The sequence below is a fragment of the Homo sapiens genome, chromosome 1 (genome assembly GCF_000001405.40).
Source record: "Homo sapiens chromosome 1, GRCh38.p14 Primary Assembly".
In the NCBI taxonomy this organism is placed as follows: domain Eukaryota; kingdom Metazoa; phylum Chordata; class Mammalia; order Primates; family Hominidae; genus Homo; species Homo sapiens.
The window spans coordinates 31,469,519-31,489,071 of NC_000001.11; the positions used below are offsets into that span (position 1 = coordinate 31,469,519).

A 19,553-nucleotide genomic window follows, 5' to 3' on the forward strand; every position below is an offset into this window, starting at 1 on the left:
GTTTTTTTTTTTAATTTAACATGAATTGGAGGAATCTGTAACTTTCCTTGCTTCCCATCTTTTGCTGTGGTGGTAAGTTTAGGGAAAGGAGGAATTTTCTATGATTGATTTCGAGGCCTAAGCCTAATTTTAGCATTAAATCTCTTCCTTATAGATTTGTCCCTGCTTCCAGAATTAGCAGAAAGTTAATATTAGCTGATTTGCTTTTACATATGACTTTATTCTTTTTCCCACTTGGGACATTCTTTTTTGAAGTGACCTATTTTTAATTTGAAGCATTTGTTTTGTCCTCTTTCCCTTTTCCTCTCCCTATCTCTCTCTCTCTCTCTCTGAATTCCTCTGTCTCTTTCCCTCTCTCTCTGACTTCCTCTGTCTCTTTCCCTCTCTCTCTCTCTGACTTCCTCTGTCCCCTCTGTCAGTCTTTCTCTCGCCTCTAAGATTTTTTTCTCTACCTTTGAGTCTCCTGGCTTTACTCTTTTGTACCCTTTATGTTGCCTGGAGAGTGGGGGTCTAGGTTCTTTATAGGTTCTTGCCCCCTGGGTACTTTGTTGTATGGTGGACAGCAGAATTTTTGCCCTCTGCTTTTGTTTTTCTTCATCTCTTCCTACATATACTTTTTGGGCTTCTCTTAGAAGCTCTTCTATAGGTTTATCTTTCTAGTTCCCTATCTTTTGTAATTTCTTGTTAATATCTGGCCAACTGTTAGTGACAAAATGAAGTTTTAACATTCCCTGTCCAAGGGGATCCTCGAGACCTGGACCAGTATATTTTCTCATTTATTCCTTTAATCTGTCTAAAAATTCTATAGGCCCTTAATCTTTCCCTTGCTGTATATCAAATGTTTGGGTAAGATTCTGGGTTCGGGGTACTGATTCTTTAATCCCCTTTATTATCAATTCCTTAAGGTCTTGCATATTTTCTTGGTTGGCTGCATTGTTATTGTCCCACCAGGGGTCTTGGGTGGGAAATTTTTGATCCGCTGTAGGAACGTTTTGGCCGGAAGCCGGGGGCGGGGTGTTCATGGTTCCTAGGCTCCCATTGCAGCCCTATGGATCATGCCTCTTTCTTCCCCTGAGAAGAGGGGAAAGGGAAGTTCTGAATATCCTTTTTACATTGCTCTATCTCGTGTGAAGTCCTTTTAGGGAAGGGTACTCAGGCTGGTCGTGAGTGGGCTCTTGGGAACATTCCCAAGAGGCAGAATTATAAGGAGAGGGACAACAGGGATAGGAGAAGGGTCTGGGACAGCAGCTGCTTTTTCTTGTTTTTGGTCCTTTCATTACCCTTCTAATATTTTATCATTAGGCTGAGCGGATTATTAGGGGGAATATTATCATTGCTAGTGTATCCTTTTTATCCCTTACCTTACTTGGGGTATTTCCCATTTTTAGTGTGAGGCTCAATTCCCCTTGCTAGAAATGTCTTGCCTATTTTTAACCCTCAAGATACCCCAACCAGGGAATACTTCACCGCCCCACCTCCTCCGTGTCTTTTCTTACCTTGATATGTCCTGATCAAGGAATACCACCACCCCCTGTGGCTTCTCTTACCTTGGTCTGTCCCAACCACCAAGGAAATACTTTGCTGGCTCCCAGGCGTTTCCTTCCTCGGTCTGTGCACAGAGTTGCCTGGTCACTGTGGTGTGTGAGGATCCTTTCCCCTGGGTCGCCGGCTGGTTTCTTTCGACATTGCTGAGTCCAGGTTTATTTGTCACACCAGGTGAGTCTCGATTCCTGACTCTTGAGGCCACCGCAACAAGGCAGTGGGGCGTGAGAGAGGAATAGAGGCCACCCCTAGAGGAGAATAGCTCCCCATATGGGCCACGAGATTGTTAGAAACAAATGCCTGTTCCTTGGTGCTGCAGAGAAATAGCACTTGAACATAAATTTAATTTTCTCAGCCAGGTAATTTTTACTTCTATAGAAGGGTGCGACTCGTGGTTGGAGTAATGGCGAAAGCACACCTGAACAAGGGGAGGGAAGCGGTTCGTATTCCTGGTGCAGGTAGTCCCTGCTGTTGTGTCATTCCCCTATTGGCTAGGATTGGACCGCACAGTGTAAGCTAATTCCGATTGGCTATTTTAAAGAGAGCAGGGGTACAAGCTGGAGTGACAGGGTGAGAAGTTTGGCGGGAGGGGTGGTTACAGAACAGTTGACTCAGGATGATTCAGGTCAGAGCAGGTGACAGGGGTGACTCAAGATGGAGCAGGTGACCAGGGGTGACTCAGGACAAAGCAGGTGACCAGGGGAACAGATGTGAACTACTGATTAGAACTGGCAGGAAACTTGTTTACTGAAACTAGAGGCAAGCGGGGCAATAGAACCAGGAAGTTAGACTTTAAAATGGAGAATAAAGAGAGCTGAACATACTGACATAGTGATTCTTTGAAAAGAAACTTGGAGTTCACGATCTTTAACAAGAATATCTAGTTCTTCCTGATTTAAGCCAGGAGGGTTGTATCTTTCCAGGAATTTATGCATCTCTGCTAGGTTTTCTAGTTTATGTGTGTAAAGGTGTTCATAGTAGCCTTGAATGAGTTTTTGTATTTCTGTGGTGTTGGTTGTAATACCTCCTATTTTGTTTCTAATTGAGCTTATTTGGATTTTTCTCTTCTTTTCTTGGTTAATCTTGCTAATGGTCTATCAATTTTATTTATATTTTCAAAGAACCAGTTTTTGTTTTATCTTTTGTATTTTGTTGTTGTTATTTAAATTTCATTTAGTTCTGCTCTGATCTTGGTTATTTCCTTTCTTCTGCTGGATTTGGATTTGGTTTGTTCTTGTTTCTCTAGTTCCTTGAGGTGTGACCCTAGATTGTCTGTTTGTGCTCTTTCAGGCTTTTTGATGTAGGCATTTAGGGCTATGAACTTTTCTCTTAGCACTGCTGTATTAGTTTGTTTTCATGCTGCTGATAAAGACACACCTGAAACTGGGAATAAAGAGAGGTTTAATTGGACTTACACAGTTCCACATGGCTGGGGAGGCCTCAGAATCATGGGTGGTGGCAAAAAGCACTTCTTACATGGCGACGGCAAGAGAAAAAATGAGGAAGAAGCAAAAAGGGAAACCCCTGACAAACCCATCAGATCTCGTGAGACTTATTCACTTTCATGAGAACAGCACAGGAAAGACCGGCCCCTGTGATTTGATTACCTCCCCCAGGGTCCCTCCCAAAACATGTGAGAATTCTGGGAGATGCAATTCAAGTTTAGATTTGGGTAGAGTCACAGCCAAACCATATCATTCTGCTTCTGGCCCCTCCAAATCTCATGTCCTCACATTTCAAAACCAATCATGCCTTCCCAACAGTCCCCCAAAGCCTTAGCTCATTTCAGCATTAACCCAAAAGTCCATGGTACAAAGTCTCATCTGAGACAAGGCAAGTCCCTTCTGCCTATGAGCCTGTAAAATAAAAAACAAGCTAGTCGCTTCCTAGATACAATGTGGGTATAGGTATTGGGTAAATATAACTGTTCCAAATGGGAGAAATTGGCCAAAACAAAGGGGTTAAAGGGCCCATGCAAATCTGAAATCCAGTGGGCCAGTCAAATTTTAAAGCTCCAAAATGATCTCCTTTGACTTCAGGTCTCACATCCAGGTCAGAGTGATGCAAAAGATGGGTTCCCATCGTCTTGGGCAGCTCCACCCCTGTGGCTTTGTAAGTTACAACCACCCTCCCAGCTGCTTTCATGGGCTAGCATTGAGTGTCTGCAGCTTTTCCAGGCACATAGTGTAAGCTATTCATGGATGTACCATTTGGGGTCTGGAGGACAGTGGCCCTCTTCTCACAGCTCCACTAGGCAGTGTCCCAGTAGGAACTCTGTGTGGGGGCTCCGACCCCACATTTCCCTTTGGCACTGCCCTAGCAGATGTTCTCCATGAGGGCCCTGCCTCTGCTGCAAACTTGTGCTTGGGCATCCAGGCGTTTCCATACATCTTCTGAAATCTAGGCAGAGGTTCCCAAACCTCAATTCTTGACTTCTGTGTACCCACAGGCTCAACACCACATGGAAGCTGCCAAGACTTGGGGGGCTTCCACCCTCTGAAGCCACAGCCCAAGCTCTACATTGGCCCCTTTCAGCCATGGCTGGAGTGGGTAGGACACAAGGCACCAAGTCCCCATGCTTCACACAGTATGGGGACCCTGGGCCTGGCCCATGAAACCACTTTTTCTTCCTGGGCCTCTGGGCCTGTGATGGGAGGGGCCATCTCTGACATGGCCTGGAGACATTTTCCCCATGGTCTTAGGGATTAACATTGTGCTTCTTGTTACTTATGCAAATTTCTGCAGCTGGCTTGAATTTCTCCCCAGAAAATGGATTTTTCTTTTCTATTGCATAGTCAGGCTGCAAAATTTCCAAACTTCTATGCTCTGCTTCCCTTATAAAGCTGAATGCCTTTAACAGTACCCAAGTCACCTCTTGAATGCTTTACTGCTTGTAAGTTTCTTCTGTCAGATACCCTAAGTCATCTTTCTTAAGTTCAAAGTTCCAAAAATCTCTAAAGCAGGGGCAAAATACCACTGGACTTTTCACTAAAACTTAGTAACATCACATTTACTCCAGTTCCCAACAAGTTTTTCATCTGAGACAATCTCAGCCTGGATTTTATTGTCCATATCACTGTCAGCATTTTGGGCAAAGTCATTCAACAAGTCTCTAGGAAGTTCCAAACTTTCCCACATTTTCCCATCTTCTGAGCTCTCAAAACTGTTCCAATGTCTGCCTGTTACCCAGTTCCAAAGTTCCTTCCACATTTTCAGGTATCTTTTCAACAATGCCCACTCTACTGGTACCAATTTACTGTATAAGTTCGTTTTCATGCTGCTGATAAAGACACACCTGAGCCAGGTGCGGTGGCTTATGCCTGTAATCCCAGCACTTTGGGAGGCCAAAGCAGGTGGATCACGAGGTCAGGAGTTTGAGACCAGCCTGGCCAACATGGTGAAACCCTGACTCTACTAAAAATACAAAAAATTAGCTAGGCGTTGTGGCATGCACCTGTAATCCCAGCTACTCAGGAGACTGAGGCAGGAGAATCGCTTGAATGCAGGAGGCAGAGGTTGCAGTGAGCCGAGATTGTGGTATTGCACTCCAGCCTGAGGGATGGAGCAAGACTCTGCCTCGAGAGAAAAAAAAAAAAAAAAAGGACACACCTGAAACCGGGAACAAAAAGAGGTTTAATTGGACTTACACAGTTCCACATGGCTGGGGAGGCCTTGGGAGGTGAAAGGCACTTCTTACATGGCAGTGGCAAGAGAAAAATGAGGAAGAAGCAAACGCAGGAGCCCCTGATAAACCCATCAGATCTTGTGAGACTTATTCACTATCATGAGAATAGCACGGGAAAGACTGGCCCCCATGATTCGATTACCTAACCCTGGGTCCCTCCCAAAACACGTGAGAATTCTGGGAGATAAAATTCAAGTTGAGATTTGGGTGGGGTCACAGCCAAACCATATCAACCGCCTTTGCTGTATCCCAGAGGTGTTGATAGGTTGTGTCACTGTTATTGTTCAGTTTGAAGAATTTTTAAATTTCCATTTTGATATCATTGTTGACTCAACGATTATTCAGGAGCAGATTATTTAATTTCCATGTATTCGCATGGTTTTGAAGGTTCCTTTTGGAGTTGGTTTCCAGTTTTATTCTACTGTGGTCTGAGAGAGCACTTGATACAATTTCAATTTTCTTAAATTTATTGAGACTTGTTTTGTGGCCTGTCATAGGGTCTATTTGGAGAAAGTTCCATGCACTGATGAATAGAATGTATATTCTGTGGTTGTTGGGTAGAATGTTCTGTAAATATTTGTTAAGTCCATTTGTTCCAGGATATAATTTAAATCCATTGTTTCTTTGTTGACTTTCTGTCTTGGTGACCTATCTAGTGCTGTCAGTGGAGTATTGAAGTCCCCTACTACTATTGTGTTGCTGTCAATCTGATTTCTTAGGTATAGTAGTAATTGTTTTATAAATTTGGAACCTCCAGTGTTAGGTGCATGTATATTTAGGATTGTAATATTTTCCTGTTGGACAAGAGGTTTTATCATTACATAATGTCCCTCTTTGTCTTTTTAAATAGCTGTTGTCTTAAAGTTTGTTTTGTCTGATAAAAGAATAGCTACTCCTGCTCCCTTTTGGTGTCCATTTGCATGGAATGTCTTTTCCACCCCTTTAACTTAAGTTTATGTGAGTCCTTATGTGTTAGGGGAGTCTCTTGAAGGCAGCAGATAGTTGGCTGGTGGATTCTTACCCATTCTGCAATTCTGTATCTTTTAAGTGGAGCATTTAGGACATTTACATTCAATGTTAGTATTGCGAGGTGAGGCACTATTCCATTCATCATGCTATTTGTTGCCTGTACACTTTTTTTTAGTTGTATTTTTGTTTTATAGGTCCTGTGAGATTTATGCTGTAAAAGAGTTCTGTTTTGATGTGTTTCCAGGATTTGTTTCAAGAATTAGAGCTCCTTTTAGCAGTTCTTGTAGTGCTGGCTTGGTTGTGGTGAATTCTCTCAGCATTTGTTTGTCTGAAAAAGACTGTATATTTCCTTTATGTATGAAGCTTAGTTTTGCTAGATATGACCAATAATTATTTTGTTTAAGAGGCTGAATATAGGCCCCCAATCCCTTATTGGGATTGTAGGGTTTCTGCTGAGAAATCTGCTGTTAATTTGTTAGGTTTTCCTTTATAGGTTACCTGGTGCTTTTGCCTCACAGCCCTTAAGATTCTTTCCTTTGTCTTGACTTTAGATAACCTGATGATAATATGCCTAGGCGATGATCTTTTTGTGATTAATTTCCCATGTGTTCTTTGAGCTTCTTGTATATGGATGTCTAGGTCTGTAGCAAGACCGGGGATTTTCCTCGATTATTCCCCCAAATATGTTTTTCAAACTTTTAGATTTCTCTTCTTCCTCAGGAATGCCAATTATTCTTAGATTTGGTTGTTTAACACAACCCCAAACTCTCGGAGGCTTTGTTTATTTTTTCTTATTCTTTTTTCTTTGTCTTTCTTGGATTGGGTTAATTTGAAAAACTTGTCTTTGAGCTCTTTCTTCTGCTTGTTTGATTCTATCCCTGAGACTTTCCAGAACATTTTGTATTCTCTAACTGCATTTATTATTTCCTGAAGTTTTGATTGTTTTTTATTTATGCTATCTATTTCACTGAAGATTTCTCCCCTTGTTTCTTGTATCATTTTTTTGATTTCCTTAAATTGGACTTCACCTTTCTCTGGTGCCTCCTTGGTTAGCTTAGTAACTGACCTTCTGAATTCTTTTTCAGGTAAATCAGGGATTTCTTCTTGGTTTGGATCCATTGCTGGTGAGCAAGTGTGATTTTTGGGGGGGTATTAAAGAGCTTTGCTTTGTCATGTTACCAGAGTTGTTTTTCTGGTTCCTTCTCATTTGAGTAGGCTATGTCAGAGGGAAGATCTGGGGCTCAAGGCTGCTGTTCAGATTCCTTTGTCCCACGGGGTGTTCCCTTAATGTAGTACTCCCCCTTTTCCTAGGGATGTGGCTTCCTGAGAGCTGAGATGTAGTGATTGTTATCTCTCTTTTGGATCTAGCCACCCAGCAGGTCTACCAGGCTCCAGGCTGATACTGGGGGTTGTCTGCACAGAGTCTTGTGATGTGAACCATCTGCAGTTCTGTCAGCTGTGGATACCAGCACCTGCTCCAGTGGAGGTGGCAGGGGGTGAAATGGACTCTGTGAGGTTTCTTAGTTTTGGTTGTTTAATGCACAATTGTTGTGCTGTTTGGCCTCCTGCCAGGAGGTGGTACTTTCAAGAGAGCACCAGATGTGGTAGTACAGGGAGGATCAGGTGGTGGGCAGGGCCCGAGAACTCCCAAGAGTATATGCCCTTTGTCTTTAACTGCCAGGGTGGGTATGGAAGGACCATCAGGTAGGGGCAGGGCTAGGCATGTCTGGGCTCAGACTCTCCTTGGATGGGTCTTGCTGTGACTGCTGCGGCAGATGGGAGAGTGGTTCCCAGGTCAATGGAGTTATGTTCCCAGGAGGATTGTGGCTGCCTCTGCTGTGTCTTGCAGGTTGTCAGGGAAGTGGGGGAAAGCCAGCAGTCACAGGCCTTACTCAGCTCCCACACAACCCAAAAGGCCAGTCTCACTCACACCATGCTCCACCCCCAACGGCACTGAGTCTGTTTCCAGGCAGTGGGCAAGCAGCGCTGAGAATTTGCCCCAGGCTACCAGCTTCCCATCTGCGAAAGCAAACAGGGCTTTCGGGCCTCCCCGACCTGCGCAGTCTGCCCACCGGATTCATGTCCTCCCCCAAGTTCTGGCCAGGAGACTTTGCATTTGGTTGGAATTGCTACAAAGTCCAACTGAAGGTTTCCTTCTTCCTGTGGTCTTTTCCTAGTACCTCTGGCAGCCCTCCCCAAGGACCCCGTGAGATAATGCAGAAATGGCTTCTCAGGAGACCCAGAGAGCCCACAGGGCTTTTCCACTGCTTCCTTTACCCCTGTATTTTGCTGGGCTTTCCAAGTTGACTTAGCCCCGGGTAAGGTCAGAATCTTCTCCCGTGATCTAGACCTTCAGGTTCCCCAGTGAGGGTGTGTGTTCAGGCCAGATGATCCCTCATTCCCACTTCCACAGCTTGTGCACTCACAGTATTTGAAGTGTCTCCTGGGTCCTGTGGGAGCAATCTGCTTCCTTCAGAGGGTCTGTGGGTTATCTCAGCTTTTCTGGTTTATTCCTGCAGTAGTTCTGGAGCAAAAGTTCATGATGTGGGTCTCCACACACTGTTCTGTCTGTCCAAGTGGGAGCTGCAATCTGGTCCTGCCTGCCGTCTGCCATGATGTTCTTGAAAACCAACAAGTGCTTCTTAAATGCTGACGTATCATTTTCCCATGTCTGAGGTATGGAAGCAAGCAAAACAGACCAAAATTTCTGTTTCCATTGATTTCATTTTCTAGTAGAGATGCACAGATAATTTTTAAATGTAGACTATATAGTGTATTAAAAGGTGAAAAACACTATGAAATATAAAAACAGAATAAAATAATAAATAATAAAATAAAAATAATAAAAATAAAACAACCTGGGGGATGGAACGAGCCAGTGGTTCTTCATCTTTTCAGTGCCATAGGCCTCTGGCCACCTGGGGAAGCCAAAGGATCCCTTCTCAGAGTGTTTTTATTTTTGAATTAAATTAAATAAAAATTTATTATTATTACTATTAGAGATAGGTTCTCACTATATTGCCTAGGCTGGTCTTGAACCTCTGGCCTCAAGTGATCCTCCCATCTTGGCCTCTTAAAGTACTGGGATGACAGGCATAAGCCACCACACCAGGCCTCAGAATGTGTTTAAATGCACAAAGTAAAATGTATAAAATCACAGAGGAGGCTGGGTATGGTGGCTCATGCCTGTAATCCCAGCACTTTGGGAGGCCGAGGTGGGTGAATCACTTGAGGCCAGGAGTTCAAGACCAGCCTGGCCAACATGGCAAAACCTTGTCTCTACCCAAAATACAAAAATTAGCCGAGCATGGTGGCACACACCTGTAGTCCCAGCTACTCGGGGGGCTGAGGCAGCAGAATCACTTGAACTCAGGAGGTGGAGGTTGCAGTGACAGAGATTGCGCCACTGCCCTCCAACCTGGGTGACAGAGAGAGACTCTGTCTCAGAAAAAAATCACAGAGGAAACAGAGTGTATTAAAATATAGCTACCAAAATAATGAATAAACAAACTTCCAATAGAGTAATATACATTTTTGAATTAATACATTACTTAATAAGACAGTATATTATAAATATGGGCAAGTCAAAGTTTTAATTTGATTTTAAAATGACACATCAGTGAGGGTGGTTGCTACGCTTTAATACGAGTGTTAAACTGTGAAGTGCTCTTTGACTCACCTCCTTCCACTGATTGATAAACTAATGTGAATAGGGGATCCTGGAAAGCAATTAATGTGTCTGGGTCACCAGTGTGAGAATGTGAGACATCATTGTCCCATGGCAAAGAGTTGTCTGATATTGGCTAGCAACATTGCAGGGGCATCAGATGAAAAGACTTTGATCACCTGTATGCAGCAGGAAATGTAATAATTACCTTACTTTTGAGATGTCTGCAACAACTGTCATGTAATATGAATATCTGTGATTTCCTCTGGGTCACAAACACACACATATTGCTAATGTGACTGTGGATGTTTCTTGTATTCATAATCAAAGAAAATGACAAATGTCAATGGGACCCTGGTGAAAATAAAGATGCAATTACTTTCTTGTATGAGTTCATGTACCCCTTTGAATTCTGCCAGTGGTCTGCAGGTCAAGAATATAAGTCATTCATCACCAGCCCACCCAAAGGTGAGATCAGTGTTACCCAACTTCTAATAGCTGGAAAATTCTGGCATGAGAAGAAAAGATGACATAGAGGTTGGATGCTGGGGAGGCCCCAAAGCAGGATTCCTCCCCCACATTCCACTTCTGTGGTTCATTCATGAAAATGTTAGAATTGGTCATTTGTACTTCCCTTGCTTTACCATTGAAAGTCCCACATCCTGGGAAACCCATCTGTCTTGAGCAAACCAGGAAAGTTCATCTCCCTAGTCATACAGCCTTCTCTGTGATCTCTGGGCATAAGTGAGTTCATGAATTTTGCTTTATCCACGTGAACTTCCACTTACCCTGGTTATAAATTATACAGAGCAAAAATTGATAGACGCACAAGCAGAAATAAATAAACCTACAATTTGAGAAATTTAGATGTGCCTCTCTCAGTAAATGATATCAAACAGACAAAATGGGTAACAATAGAGAAATTTGAATGACATTTTCAACAATGAATGACATATAGAAAAGCAGGGAAATAGAAAGTGTTGGGAGCAAGCCCCCCAAAATCTGGCCATAAACTGGCCCCAAAACTGGCCATAAACAAAATCTCTGCAGCACTGTGATATGCTCATGATGGCCATGAAGCCCACACTGGAAGGTTGTGGGTTTACCGGAATGAGGGCAAGGAACACCTGGCCCACCCAGGGCAGAAAACTGCTTAAAGGCATTCTTAAGCCACAAATAATAGCATGAGCGATCTGTGCCTTAAGGACATGCTCCTGCTGCAGTTAACTAGCCCAACTAGTAAACTAACCATCCCTTTATTTCGGCCCATCCCTTTGTTTCCCATAAGGGATACTTTTAGTTAATTTAATATCCATAGAAACAATGCTAATGACTGACTTGCTGTTAATAAATACATGGGTAAATCTCTGTTCGGGGGTCTCAGCTCTGAAGGCTGTGAGACCCCTGATTTCCCACTTCACACCTCTATATTTCTGTGTGTGTGTCTTTAATTCCTCTAGTGCCAGTGAGTTAGGGTCTCCCAGACCGAGCTGGTCTCAGCAAGAAAACTTAAAAATTAGTAAGGCTAGTAGGACGTGGTGGCTCACACCTGTAATCCCAGCACTTTGGGAGGCCGAGGCAGGCGGATCATGAGGTCAGGAGTTTGAGACCAGCCTGGCCAATATGGTGAAACCCCATCTCTACTTAAAAAAAAAAAAAGAGTAAGGCTAATGACATTTTGTGGTGGCAAGATTCCTGGGAAAACAGGAATTCATAACTATCTAGGGCTATTATTTTGAAAGGAAATGTGGCAATATCTGGGAAATTTTAAGATGAGCACATCTATGATTCAGCAATTCCACTAATAGATGTTTATTGGGGACAAAACTCACCCATGTGCACAAGGAGACATTTCAGCCCTGTTCATAATAGCAAAAAGTCCAAAAGCCTAATCAGTGCTCAATTAAGGATGGGTAATTTGAGCCGGGTGCAGTGGTGTGCACTTGCAGTCCCAGCTACTCCAGAGGCCGAGGCAGGAGAATTCCTTGAGCCCAGGAGTTTGAGACCAGCCTGGGTGATACAGTGAAATGACGACAGTGACGATGACGGAGGAAGAGGAAGAGGAGGAGAAGAGGAAGAGGAAGAAGGAGAAGAAGAAGAAGAGAAGGAGGAGGAAGAGGAGAAGAAGAAGAAGAAGAAAGTAAAAGAACGGAGAAATGTATCATGCAAACAGAAATCACAAGAAAGCTGGTGTCGCTCTACTAATATTACAGAATAGACTTGAAAACAAAAAGATGATACTCTTTTAAAGAGAGACATTTTATAATCATAAAAGGGTCAATGTGTCAGGAAGATATAATAATCATAAACATATATGCACTTAACAACAGAGGCCAAATATATGTGAAGTAAAAACTGACAAATGAAGGGAGAACTAGGCAATTCAACAATAGTAGTTGAATACTTTCAATAATGAATACAATATCTTGGCAGAAGACCAACAATGAAATAGAAAACTTAAACTACACTATAAACCAAAAACTTAAACTACACTATAAACCAACTATACCTAAAATACATCTTTAGAACACTGCACCCAATAAATTATACAAGAAAAGAAAAATTGACCTTTGAACAACACGGGTTTGTGTTTGAACTCTGTTCATTCACTTATATGTTACTTTTCTGCTGCCTCTGCTACCCCTGATATGACAATACCAACCCTTCTCTCTTTCTCCCTCTTCCTCCTCCTCCTCAGCCAACTCAGCATGAACACAATGAGGATGAAGGCATTTATGATGACCCCACTTCCTCTTAATAAACAGTAAATATATATTATCTTCCTTGTGATTTTCTTAATAACATTTTCTTTTCTCTAGCTTATGTTATTGTAAGAATTCACTATATAATACATATAATGCACAAAAAAATGGGTAGATAACCTGAGGTTTATTCAAACAGTGGACTACTTTATAGTATTTGAAATAATTTAAGTAGAGTTACATGAACCAATAAGGATAAACTTAAAACACACTAAATACTGAAAAAAGAAGCAGGTTGCAAAATGATATGGTATGATACTATTTATTTTAAATTTTTAAGAACACACAAAATAATACTTTATATTGTCTATGGATACATACATAGGTGGTAGAAATACAAATGCATGCATGGCAATGATACTTATCAATTAAAAATTTTTCCTGTGGGGAATAAGGGAGAAAGGAAGGACTCCTGCCCATAGGACCACTAATGCTACTCTAACCCTAATCAGGACTGGGTACTGAGTGTGGGGAGATTCCCTCACCCCAGTTGGGAGTAGCCACAGGGTGTTAATCAGATTCCAAGGCAACCCTTGCTCTCTATCCATCGCACATGAATTTGAGCTTGTGATCTTGGGCACAACCCACAATCTCTGGACCTCGGTCAACCCATTTGTGAAACGAACTAAAGATATTTGCCCTGGAGAGTGGCAAACTCAGTGTCAACCTTCACACTGTCAGAAGCAAATGGGGAAGATAATCTAGACTGCCTTGTACTGTGTGGCTTTGTAGCAGCACAAGCTGCAGACAAAGCCTCTCAGACACCGAGTTGTAGAAGGAAGGGCTTTATTCAGCTGGGAGCATCGGCAAGCTACTGCCTTAAAATCTGAGCTCCCCGAATGCACAATTTCTGTCCCTTTTAAGGGCTCACAACACTAAAGATTTCACATGAAAGGGTCGTGATTGATTTGAGCAAGCAGGCAGTACATGACAGGGGCCACATGCACTGGTGGTCAGAGAGAAACAGAACAGGGCAGGGAGTTTCACAATGTTCTTCTATATGATGTCTAGAATCTATGAATAACATCGGTTTCTAAGTTATGAGTTGATTTTTAACTACTGGGTTTAGGCCAGGCAGGCCCAGGCCTGGTTTTTGGCCTGGCGCCGGGCTGCCTGTCTTTGGTTTTACTTCCTTGTCGTTTTTTCTTAAAACGGGTACTGAGTATAAAACAATATCAGAGGGTCTCTCTCTTCCCTCAGCTTCACTGTCAAGTAAGAATTTCTCTCCCCAGGGGAAGCAGATGGAATTAAAACATGGTGATTATTCTTAAACACCTCACGCAACGGCTGCTACACACCATCTGTGAAGTCAGTTGCAGATCTATGATGAGGAAGTAGAATCATGTGGTCCCCAGGCCCTTTGCTGAAATGTCTTTCTGCTGGGTAATTAATTACGTGGTGTTGAAATGCTCTGCGTCAACTCCCTTTGGTTTAGTCATCATGCTTGCTTAATGTTCTGTTAATGTCCATGCTGCTTTCTAGGAACTTGCACATCAGCATCGCTGTCCAGGTTAAAGGAATTTGCAATGTCCCCGTAGGCCCTGAATTTCTACCCTGAATGAAACAATGAAAAGGGGGTGACCATACTCTCATCTTCCCCAGCTTCCTGGTTGCTGCAGTGTAGGGGGTTGGCTGTGGGTGGTGGGTAATGAATCCCTGTTGGCTCCTATTGCCAAACAGACTGATTACACATCAGCTCTGATAACTGACGGATCCCACCCTCAGACAAAAGCAAGAAAATGTGGGTAGCAGTTTGCATTGTAATTAGTAGGGAATAAAAGGCTCTAAGTGCCTCATGATTTCTGGTTCATTGGAATTGAAAACAAAGTAAGGTCTGGTACTGAGGGAGAGTCAGTCCCTATTTGGTTGACCCCAAAACATTTGCAATTAGATTTGCTGGATCTGGGATCCCAAGAGATTTTGAACCATGGGGTGGGAAGCCACCAAATTCAAATTCTTGATGGCATGATGGGCTTGATCCATGGGGAATGGGGCTCCCCCAACCCCTTTCTGCTGCCACCAACAGCTGAGGCTGGTGTTGGGGAAGAAGAACCCAACAGTCCAGCAGGCAGAGGCAGCAAGTCACTGGTAGGCTGTCCTCAGTAAGATCTTGTCTCTGCTCAGCAGCCCCAAGTGGATGAGTATTTTGTTTTTTATTGTGGCAAAATATACATAACATAAAATTTACCATTTTAACCCTTTTTGAGTATATTACTAGGTGGTATTAAGCACATTCATGTTGTTATGCACCCATCACCACCACCCATCAACAGATTTTTTTTTTTTTTTGGGAAGGAGTCTCACTCTGTCGCCCAGGCTGGAGTGCAGTGGCAGGATCTCGGCTCACTGCAAGCTCTGCCTCCTGGGTTCAAGCGATTCTCCTGCCTCAGCTTCCCGAGTAGCTGGGACTACAGGCGCCTGCCACCATGCCTGGCTAATTTTTTTGTATTTTTAGTAAAGACAGGGTTTCACCGTGTTAGCCAGGATGGTCTCTATCTCCTGACCTCGTGATCAGCCCACCTCAGCCTGCCAAAGTGCTGGGATTACAGGTGTGAGCCACCACACCTGGTCTGAATTTTTTTGGGGGTGGTGGCTCATGCCTGTAATTCCAGCACTTTGGGAGGCTGAGGTGGGTGGATCACGTGAGGACAGGAGTTTGAGACCAGCCTCGCCAACATGGCGCAACCCCGTCTCTACTAAAAATTAGCCGGGTGTGGTGGTGGGCACCTGTAATCCCAGCTACTCTGGAGGATGAAGCAGGAGAATCACTTGAACCCGGAAGGCGGAGGTTGCAATGAGCTGAGATGGTGCCATTGCACTCCAGCCTGGGTGATGGAGGTGGGGATAGGGGAGGGGGGAACTCCGTCTCAAATAAATAAATAAAAAGAACATTTCAAAGTAAGGACATCCTGTCACATAACCTCTAATTATTTCAGCAAGCATCTCTTTAAAAAAAAGGACACTCTCCTACATAACCGCATGGTTATTATCCCACCTAAAAAAGTAACAGCAATTCCCTAATGTCATGTAAATTCCAATGCAAATTTCCTCAATTTCCCTCCAAATGTCTTGTATAGCTGATGTTTTCAAACTATGCTCTAATCACTAACCACACATTGTAGTTAATTGTTGTATGTCTGAATTCTCTTGGTTTCCCCTTCTGCTTGTTTCTACGAGGCTGGGAGGGTTAAATTGCATAACATCCCGCTTTCTGAATGGGCCTAATTATTTCCACTTGATGTTCCTTCATCTCCCGTATCTTCTATAAACTGAGATAAATGTCTGTAAGCTTGATTTGATTTAAGCAGAACAGCCTTGGCAAGAGTAAATACTTCATGGGTGGCGATGAACTTCACCTTGAAACATGACTACTCCTTGGCAAAGCTGAATGTGACACCTCTGTGTGCCCTGGGCGGGGGTTCCCAAGTAGGACAATGCAAAACGACTCCAAATAATTCATCTTATTAGAAATGCAAGTGTTTTAAAATCACACGTTTTGTATTGTAAGAATTGTGTTATGCAGTTCTTCTTCAGAAAAGGTTTTTCCTTGAAGGGCTAGAGCTGGCAGGTTAACACCAAAAACTAAAATAAAATGAGAGACGCTTCAGTGAAAACACTAAGGACAATTGTTATTAGAGAATGTGGAAATCTTGAAAAAGAAAAGGGAGAAGGGTTCTAGGAGAGTTTAAAATTGTATATTTAAATAACATCCAAATAGTATTGTGAAAATGACAAACTATAGAGTTTCACATAAATTTTCAATGTGGAATTTGATATCATATTACATAAATCAATGCGATATGTGTTATATATGTGTTATGTTATAATTTAACCACATTATAACAATATTTTAAAAATAATGTTGAATATTGGCTATCTTTTCTGTCATTTCCTTTTTTTGAGATTTCAACAAATTTACTCAATATTGATGTAAATACATGAAATTTCATATGTAATGCATGGCCTTTAGTATCATAGGATTTGGCCTTCTAAAGTAAATCACAGGTAAACAAAAGCATGCTGCATTTCCAAACTAACCAACAGTGTTGCAATCTAATATGGCTTGGCTCTGTGTTCCCACCCAAATCTCATCTTGAATTGTAATCCCCATGTGTCGAGGGAGGGAGGTGATTGGATCATGGAGAAAGTTTCCCCCATGCTGTTCTCATGATAGTGAGTGAGTTTGCACGAGATCTGATGGTTTCATAAGGGGCTCTTCGCTCTCTGCTCAGACTCTCTCCTGCCGTCTTGTAAAGAAGGTGCCTGCTTCCCCTTCTACCATAATTGTAAGTTTCCTGAGGCCTTCTCAGCCATGCAGAACTGTGAGTCAATTAAACCTCCTTTGTTTATAAATTACCCAGTGTCAGAGTACTATCTTTATAGCAATGTAAGAATGAACTAATACACAATTCAACAGAGCCCTCCCATAGCTTTTCACTAGGTACCTGAAGCAAGATTCCTCCTGCTTAGAAATAGGTGGAGGCTGGGCATGGTGGCTCATGCCTGTAATTCCAGCACTTTGGGAAGTCGAGGTGGGCGGATTACCTGAGGTCAGGAGTTTGAGACCAGCTTGGCCAACATGGTGAAACCCTGTCTCTACTAAAAATACAAAAATTAGCCAGGCATGTTGGTGTGCGCCTATAATCCCAGCTACTCGGGAGCCTGAGGGAGGAGAATAGATTGAACCTTGGGGGCAGAGGTTGCAGTGAGCCGAGATCACGCCACTGCACTCCAGCCTGGATGACAGCAAGATTCCATTTCAAAAAAAAATAGGTGGGGGAAGACACCCTCAAATTAACCCAGAAAAAAAAATGGTAACTCAGAATTATATTCTCATAAGGTTTCACAGCTGCTCAACACCAGAAATAGATTATGAAGTCTTTTGCCTAAGCACTTCTATAAAAGTTTCAGTGTTGACCAAAAGAAGACACAGTTTTCTCATTAAACTTTGTCTTGATGGGTCTCAAAATTCTGTGACAGATTTTTGGTCAAGTTGTTTCCATTAAAAATTACTGATTTTGAAAACTAATGACTTGCCAGGTGCAGTGGCATGTCTGTAATTCCAGGTACTCAGAAGGTTGAGGTGGGAGAATTGCTTGAACCCAGGAGGCGGAGGTTGCAGTGAGCTGAGATGGTGCCACTGTACTCCAACCTGGGCAACAGAGTGAAACTGTGTCTCAAAAAACAAAACAAAACAAAACCAAAACCAAAACCAAAACCGAAACCAAAACCAAAAAATCTGATTACTGAAAATTGCCACACGAAAACAAAACAAATATGATTCATAAAATATTCTCCTTCCCTTCTGAATCTTTTATGATGTATTATTATCATTAACCAGTCTTTTACTATTAAACTTAAATGGCCAATTGAAGCAAACTGTTCTAGACAGTTCTTCCATGACTGATTAAGACTTGGGTGGCAGGTACTAGGGATAATGTTCATTTAGCCTTCCGAGCTTTCTGGGCAGGCTTGGTGACCTTGCCAGCTCCAGCACCCTTCTTGTCCACTGCTTTGATGAAACCAACAAACGGCAAAAGGACTCAGGGGAGCTCGTCAGAAAAGCTCTCAACACACATGGGGTTGCTAGAAACCATATCCATGGTGGAAGCATCACCTGATTTTAAGAATTTAAATCTTCCAGCTTCTTACCAGAACAGCAATCAGTCTTTTTCTTCAGCCCAGCAAACTTACAAGCAATGTGAGCTGTCTGACAATTCAGCACAGGGCCACAATCAGTACTGATATGGCCTGGGTGGTTCAGGATAATCACCTGAGCAGTGAAGTCAACTGCTTCCACAGGTGGGTCATTTATGCTGTCACCAGCAACATTGCCACAACGAACATCTTTGACAGACACATTCTTGACATCGAAGCCCACATTGTCCCCAGGAAGAGCTTCACTCAAAGCTTCATGATGCATTTCAACAGACTTCCCTTCAGTTGTAACATTGACTGGAGCAAAGGTGACTACTGTGCCGGGCTTGAGAACACCAGTCTCCGCCCAGCCCATAGAGACAGTACCAATATCACCAATGTTGTAGACATCCTGGAGAGGCAGACGCAAGGACTTGTCAGTTGGATGAGCTGGTGGCAGGATGTAATTCAGAGCTTCAGGCAGCATGGTTCCACTGTCATTGCCATCATTACGGGTGACTTTCCATCCCTTTAACCCAGGCATGTGAACCCTTGGCACCAGCATGCTGTCACAGTTCCAAACAGAAATTGGCACAAATGCTACTATTCAGGGGATAGGGGTTGTAGTCAATTTTCTTAATGTGAGTGCTGATTTTCTTAATGACTTCCTTGTGTCTTTTCTGGCTGTAGGGTGGCTCGGTGGAATCCATTTTAACACCAACAATTAGTTGTTTCACACCCAGGGTGTAAGTTAGAAGGGCATACTCATGAGTCTGCTCATTCTTGGAGACACCAGCTTCAAATTCACCAACACCAGCAGCAACAATCAGGACAGCACAGTCAGCCTAAGATGTGCCTGTAATGACATTTTCGATAAAGTCTCTGTGTCTTGGGGCATCAATGTTAGTCATGTAGTACTCGCTGGTCTCAACTTTCCATGGGGAGATGGTGACGTCAATGGTGACATCACACTCTTGCTGAGCTTTCAGTGTGTGCAAGACCCAGGCTTATTTTAAAGGAGCCTTTTCCCATCTCAGCAGCCTCGTCTGTGACCAAAAGAAGACACAAGTTTTTCTACCATTCTTTTATCAACTCCACCACATTTGGAGATCAGATGGCCAGTAGTGGTGGACTTGCCTGAATCTATGTGTCCAATGATGACAATGTTGACAAGAATATTTTTCCTTTCCCATTTTGGCTTTTTGGAGTGGTTTTCATGATACCTGTGTTCTGGCAGCACACCCATTCCAAGAAAGCTCTTCTCTGACATTCTTGAGTGGTTTGAGGAGGG

At 42.9% G+C, this 19,553-nt stretch overlaps 2 long non-coding RNA genes and 1 pseudogene across 2 annotated transcripts in view, besides 3 other annotated features; 1 reads left to right on the forward strand and 2 right to left on the reverse strand.

Moving 5' to 3' along the window:
• Nucleotides 1–1,958, reverse strand: part of LOC124903900 (uncharacterized) — a 45,067-nt gene extending 43,109 nt beyond the window's left edge. Inside the window, exon 1 of the long non-coding RNA XR_007065585.1 lies at nucleotides 1,548–1,958. This is a non-coding gene — a long non-coding RNA (uncharacterized LOC124903900). The remainder of the gene's footprint in view (nucleotides 1–1,547) is intronic.
• Nucleotides 1,244–2,443: an enhancer, noted in NCBI's record as "P300/CBP strongly-dependent group 1 enhancer chr1:31943609-31944808 (GRCh37/hg19 assembly coordinates)". NCBI's record gives its function as "activates an origin of replication core promoter dependent on BRD2, BRD4, P300/CBP, MED14 and CDK7 cofactors, with strong dependence on P300/CBP, by STARR-seq in HCT116 cells {active_cell/tissue: HCT116}" and the evidence as "EXISTENCE:reporter gene assay evidence [ECO:0000049][PMID:35650434]".
• On the forward strand, nucleotides 1,600–12,638 carry LOC105379772 (uncharacterized). The gene is made up of 3 exons (XR_001737618.2): nucleotides 1,600–1,716; nucleotides 8,716–8,872; nucleotides 12,562–12,638. It is a non-coding gene; the product is annotated as an uncharacterized LOC105379772 (long non-coding RNA).
• Nucleotides 13,657–13,966: an enhancer, noted in NCBI's record as "active region_642". NCBI's record gives its function as "activates an Ori minimal core promoter by ATAC-STARR-seq in GM12878 lymphoblastoid cells {active_cell/tissue: GM12878}" and the evidence as "EXISTENCE:reporter gene assay evidence [ECO:0000049][PMID:35858748]".
• Nucleotides 14,631–14,809: a silencer, noted in NCBI's record as "fragment chr1:31956996-31957174 (GRCh37/hg19 assembly coordinates)". NCBI's record gives its function as "represses an EF-1alpha promoter that drives an FKBP-Casp9 reporter gene in an ReSE screen in phorbol 12-myristate 13-acetate-treated (for megakaryocytic differentiation) K562 erythroleukemia cells {active_cell/tissue: K562(+PMA)}" and the evidence as "EXISTENCE:reporter gene assay evidence [ECO:0000049][PMID:32094911]".
• On the reverse strand, nucleotides 18,073–19,455 carry EEF1A1P46 (eukaryotic translation elongation factor 1 alpha 1 pseudogene 46; annotated as a pseudogene).